Genomic DNA, 6,356 nt, shown 5'->3' on the forward strand with positions numbered 1-6,356 from the left:
TCTGCCTCCCAGGTTCAAACAATTCTCATCCCTCAGCCTCCTGGGTAAGTGGGATTACAGGCTTGTGCCACCACACCCAGCTAATTTTTCTATGTTTAGTAGAGACAGGCTCTTGCCATGTTGGGGAGGCTGGTCTCAAACTCCTGACCTCAAGTGATCCACCCGCTTCAGCCTCCCAAAGTTCTGGGATAATAGATGTGAGCCACCAGTCCTGGCCAAAATAAACCCCTTTTCCCCTTAAATTACCCAGTCTCAGGTATTCCTTTATAGCAATGCAAAATGGACCAACACCTATGGAATTTTGGGTGAAGGCCTAGCTCCAATGTCATCTTCTCTCCAAAGCCTTCCTCAGCTTCCTGGCTCCTTTCCCTGAGGTCCTCCACGGTTGGTTTCTATGTATTATATATACCACTTAACAACTAGTTGAACATGTGATTACTATATGGGGACTTGCTTCAGTCTCTGAATCTTACTCTGAATCTATCTTGTTATTTTTGTTATTCTCATAAAAGGCTTTCAATATAGGTGTATTGAATGAATGTTGGGAACATAGTACACATTTGATAAATAATGATTTGAGTAGGCACTTGCTGCTTACCCAGTGGAACAGGCAAGCAGGCAAAGAGGAGGAGGAGGACACAAAGAGAAACTATGTTAATGAGCAAGAATCAAATGTGCCACCTCACAGCCTCCTGACTCCCTGCCTTAGAGGGTGAACCACAGGCTATTTCCCATGATTCCCTCTTCTTTGATGACACAGTGATTTGTTAGCTCTGTGGACTGGAGAGTTATGCAGCTGCCTTTCTCGCTTTCAACAAGGTACTTGCTGGAGGACTTATCCAAAGCTGAGAAGCAACACCTGTGGGGACTGGGCAGGAAACACTTTAGTAGTTTGTCTTGGTGCATGCACCACAAGCAGACAGCCATTTGCCTTCCATTTAGTTTCTGCAACTGAAGGAATACTGGGGGATTCTCTGCCGCCAGGAAGAAGAGAGCCGCCCCCCCCGCCACCATCCATTCTTCCTCTCTCTCTCTTCCTTAGTCTTACCCCTGCACATTCTGATTGTTGTGGTGACCAGATCCTGCGGAAATAAAACAGGCCTGAGTTCCTATGTGGCTGGGCTGTATCCTCCTCCTTCTCTAATAAAGCTATGACGTTAAGGAAGCCCTATCAACTGATGAGCTCAGAATGCCCATGCCTTTTGTCACCTAGCCTTTCCCCATCTCTGTGCAAATGGCTACTAGAACAGCCATTTATAAAGTGACAACTATGTGTTGGGTGTTTTGCATACATGATCTCATTAGATCCATACAACATTCCTGCAAGAAAGATATCTTTATCTCCATTTAACAAATAGAGATACTGATGCTCAAAGAAGTCAAATAACTTATCCAATGTTGACAAGCTAACAAGTGGTAGGGGTCAGATTTGAACCTATGTTGCAACCATTTTAGAGTCCTGTATGTTTTCCATTATTTATATCATCTTGGAGAACTAAAAAAGGTGAAAGTTACAGAGTCAGCCAATGTCATAGCAGGAATTAAATTCAAGGTGTTCTGATTTCCAGGGCAGCCTACAAATATCCACCATATTGAAAGAACTGTTTGAATGGATATGTTTAATGTTCCAAGAATTTATGAAACTTAAAAATATATGTTGATACTACAGTTTGAAAAGGACCCAGAATTGGAAAAGCTGCTTGTTCATGAGTGTCCCTTGTCTCTACTGTCCTGTAGTCAGTGCCCCCTCAAAATTGGATGCATCTGAGTGGAGATGCTTTTCTGTCACCTAAAGTCACACATTTACCTTTGATCCAGACCCTCCCCAGAAGCAGTGCTTTTGAAATCTCTTCTCCTCTTCTTTTTGTTTGACAAAATATAAATGATTGTTTATTTCTAGAACGATGCCAAATTCAATAAAGCAATGATGGAGTTGTGTTTTGTTTTCTGGTCAAGTTGACACCATAAAGTGGGTTTTCCTGAATATTTCCCTGTTCCACTGGTGTTCTTGGCATTGTGAATAAACAGAGATGGTGATAACATCCATCATAGAGTTAAGCACATTGAGTGGGTGATAAAGTCAACAAGAAGCTGAAACAAGAATTACCACGGATAAGCTGCCAAGAGTTGGCTGTAGATTCTAAGTGGACACTGTGGCTCATTCATCTTCGCCCTTCAGCTTTCCACCCCAACATCATCCCTGCCTCAGCACTCATGACAAGAGTAGGAAAGTAGGAGAGAAGGAAAGCACAGGGATCAAGTACAGGGGACAAATACATAGCATTGATCTGCCTGAGATAAAATCTAAAGACGCAGTAGTAAATTCTTAATGAGTACTGAGAGAGAACAAAGAAAAATGTTGTGGGTTTTGTTGTTGTTGTTGTTGTTGTTTTCTGAGACAGAGTCTCCCCCTGTCGCCCAGGTTGGAGTGCAGTGGAGCAATCTCGGCTCACTGCAAGCTCCGCCTCCCAGGTTCATGCCATTCTCCTGCCTCAGCCTCCCGAGTAGCTGGGACTACAGGCGCCCGTCAACACACCTGGCTAATTTTTTGTATTTTTAGTAGAGGCGGGGTTTCACCATGTTAGCCAGGATGGTCTCGATCTCCTGACCTTGTGATCTGCCCACCTCGGCCTCCCAAAGTGCTGGTATTACAGGTGTGAGCCACCGCACCTGGCCGAAAAACACTTTTTAAGTCAAAATGAACCTACTAACAACAAAAGTCATATTCCAGAAGTGCAAGTAGACACAAATGATCACTGGGCTTCTTTTAAGCAACATTCTGTTTTCTTGTCCTAACCTATCTCAAGCTAAGGAAATTCTAGGGTCTATTGTTCAAAGACTTGAAATGTTTTCCTTGGATTATTCCCACTCTTATATTTTTCTTGCCTCTTTCCAAAAGTGCGTTAAAAATGTCCAGGTTTTTTAACTCATTAAGATGTTCATCAAGCATCTTAATGAGTTAGTCACGATTACAACTGCATCTTTTAAATTACCCAACCTGTTGAAAGGCTGCCATGAAAGGAGCTTCTACAAACAAAATCTGGGCTGTGTTTCTCATTATCTTATGTTGCAAAAAGTGAATGAGGAGTTACTTCCAAAACAGTAATTAGCATAAAGGCTGCTGAAGCAGAGGAGAGATAGGTGCGCTACTGTCTCAATGGAAAATGTCGCTGTTTTTTCTGCAAGGAATATGTACATTACTACTAAAGGAGAAGCTCTTTGCTAACAAATGTGAAAGGGTTTCACACAGTTCATGGCACATAATAAGTGCTCATAATTTGTTTGCTTCATCGGAATTCTCTCTGTAGTCTACTTCTCAGTCAAATAACTGTGACTACCTCCATTTCCTCACAATCCAGTCTCCTTATGTTCCTTCTGTTACAGGAATTGCAGCCTCATCACCTATCACAATATTTCTCAACCCTTTTCTTTTCATTATTGCCTTCCTAAGGAGGCTTTTCAGATGTTTTTAAAAATTGCTCTCCTCTATCAAATTTTGGTACCATAGTGTGATGGTTAATTTTGTGTGTCAACTTTAGCGGGCTACGGATTGCTGAGATCACTGGTAAAACATTATTTGTGGGTGTGTCTGGGAGGGTGTTCTTGGAAAAGGTTAGCATTTGAATTGGTAGAGTGAGTAAAAGATCACCCTTGGCAGTGTGAGTGGGCATCATGCAATCCCTTGAAGGCCTGAATAAAACAGAGAGGTGGAGGAAGCACAAGTTCACTCTCTCTTCTGGAGCTGGGACATCCATCTCCTCCTGCCCTTGGATATCAGTAGTGTTTCTGGTTTTGGGGCCTTTGGACTTGGACTGGGACTTACAGGATTGGCTCTCCTGGTTCTCAGGCCTTCTGGCTTGGACTGGAGTCATAATACACCACTAACTTTCCTGGGCTTCCAATTTGCAGACAGCTGATCATGGGACTTCACAGGTTCCATAATTGCATGAGCCAATCTCTCGTAATAAATCTATTTCTGTGTATCTATATATAATATATGCTATCAGTTCTGTTTCTCTGGAGAGCCCTAATACACGCAGATATATTGTGATATCAGTTTATGCATTGTATGTATATCTGCACTTTGTACATTTAAAAAATTAAGTTGTTTTTTTATCCCCCAAGATCAATTCTCACTCCCATTGAGAATGTGCAACCTATCAGACCACAGCAGACTGATTCAGGACACAGCAGAAGCAGATCACAGAAATAGATGCTAGACAATTGATTTGGGCAAAAATCAGTGCAGATGTCCGGCATAGAAGTTTGTCTAGATCAGGCTTTGTAAAGGTAAAGACAGACAGTTGGCCATACAGGTTAGCCAAACAAGACACAGGTTGGAGAATACAGCTGACAGCAGTGTTGATGGAAGATAGGAGGGCAAGGTTCAAGGCAGGCAGAGATGTGAGAAATATTTGTCCACTGGGTCAGAGAATGCTTTATATAGAGAAATATCATCATCCAGAAAAGTTCCGTGAAAGAGAAATTATTCTCAGTTCTGAAGCCAGATTTAGACATTTTGCCTTTGTTCCTCAGGAGCCTGGACCACCCAGCCAACTGTGCCCTATTGATGAAAATCTCTGATTATTATAGGGGAATACATTATGTTGGCTTCTGTATTCCCTGAGAACCATCTACATCTCCTAGTACTTTGAAGTCGTGGTATCAGATGAAAGAGCCAAGCCTTCCAAACTGACTTGGGGCTGTGCTGAGGTGTTCATGGCCTCAAGCATTCAAGCAGGTTGATCGGATATGAGGTGTGATATTCCTTTTCCTCAAGTCATTTATCCTCTGGAGATCCTAACCTAACCTAATCTCTCCTAACCTAAAAACAGGAGCAGACCCAGGGTCCTGACTGGGCATTCTCATTATGCTTCCTAAAACCATTAGGATTTCTTCGTGGTCACATCCAACAGCCTTTCTCTTTCTCAGGCCTGCAGCTCACTGCATGTGGTGCTGCCTCTCACATTCTCCTCTTTAATTAGAGGTCAGCCACTCTAACTCCAGCCTTCATCACACTCTGCCTCTAGGGTCTTCTGAATGCTGTCTTTGAGGGTCTTCTCAGTCTCTTCCTTCCCCTTTATCTTTTATCAAAGGCACTCTTTTAATCTTTTGGTTCCTTTCTGTTGCCCCTCCATTCTCATCTGTTTATATGTTCGCTTTAAGGTCATAAACATTATTGAGTGTTTGCTATATGCCTAGTACTGATATAAACAAGATATGGCTTTTGTGCATTCTTGTGATGGAACAGATATATATATAAAACCAAGCAAAACACAATGTGAAATATGTAATACAGATCTGTACAAAATGTCTTAGCAACTCAAAAGAGGAAGTGATGAATTCTGTCTTGAGAAAAATAAAAGGCATTGCAGAAGGAAAAAGTTTTGATTTGTGCTTTGAGAATGAATTAGGGATTTATGAAAAGAAAAGTTGGAGGAAGGGCATTACAGACAGAGAGATGAGGATGGGACAGGAACAGCATGACCAAGGAAGGTTAGAAAGGCCATGTGACTGGAGGGGAAGCAGACAAGCGTGGGCAGGGAGAGTGGTAGGCAACGACCCTGCAAAGTTAGGAATGCACCGCAACTGTAGTCACCATTTAAACCTACATGTCTAGTTAACATTCAAATGGATCATTGCACTGCCTGGGACATTCATTTTTAAAAAGTATAATTTAGCTCCTACTACTTGCTATATACCATGTAACATGCTTACTGCTGGTAATACAAAGATAAATAAGCTGTCCCCTCAAGAAATCAAAATATAATAGAGAGGTAGATGTGTTTTAAAAGTTATTATGTGCAATACAAGCCAACCCATGCAGTGAAGGTAGTATGTATATGACACAAAATAGAGAGTGATTAGCTCTGAGCAGAACATGTTTCAGAGAAAAAGTGATAGCAGAGCTTTAAGAGATTAATTGGGGTTGGGTGGTGCAGTAAGCAGAATAATGGCTTCTCAGAGATATCCACATCCCAAACTTGTAAATGTTACCGTACATGTCAATGAGGACTTTGCAGATATGACTACGTTTAAGGAAGATGGGAAGATTAGATTATTCAGATGAACCTGATGTAATCACAGGGGTCCTTATAGAAAAAGGAGGCAGGAGTGTCAGAGAAAGAGATGTGACAATGAGGGACAATCAGCCAAAACCAAAAACAAACAAAAAAAACAAAAACTGTGGTTAGAAGCTGGAAGAGGCAAAGAACAGTGTCTCTCCTCCAGCTCCAGGAGGTATGAAGGTCTGCCAATGCTTTAATTTTAGCCTCATGAAATAGCCTCATTTCAGACTTCTGACCTCAAAAAGAGTAAGTTTGTGATAGTTTGTTACAGCAGCAACAGGAAATGAA

General features: G+C 41.8%; 1 annotated feature.

Annotated features, from left to right (window-relative positions):
* Positions 697 to 1,198: an enhancer, noted in NCBI's record as "NANOG hESC enhancer chr1:120623938-120624439 (GRCh37/hg19 assembly coordinates)". NCBI's record gives its function as "activates a minimal SCP1, AML or CMV promoter by ChIP-STARR-seq in primed H9 embryonic stem cells {active_cell/tissue: H9 hESC(primed)}" and the evidence as "EXISTENCE:reporter gene assay evidence [ECO:0000049][PMID:30033119]".

The sequence above is a fragment of the Homo sapiens genome, chromosome 1 (assembly GCF_000001405.40).
Source record: "Homo sapiens chromosome 1, GRCh38.p14 Primary Assembly".
Classification (NCBI taxonomy): domain Eukaryota; kingdom Metazoa; phylum Chordata; class Mammalia; order Primates; family Hominidae; genus Homo; species Homo sapiens.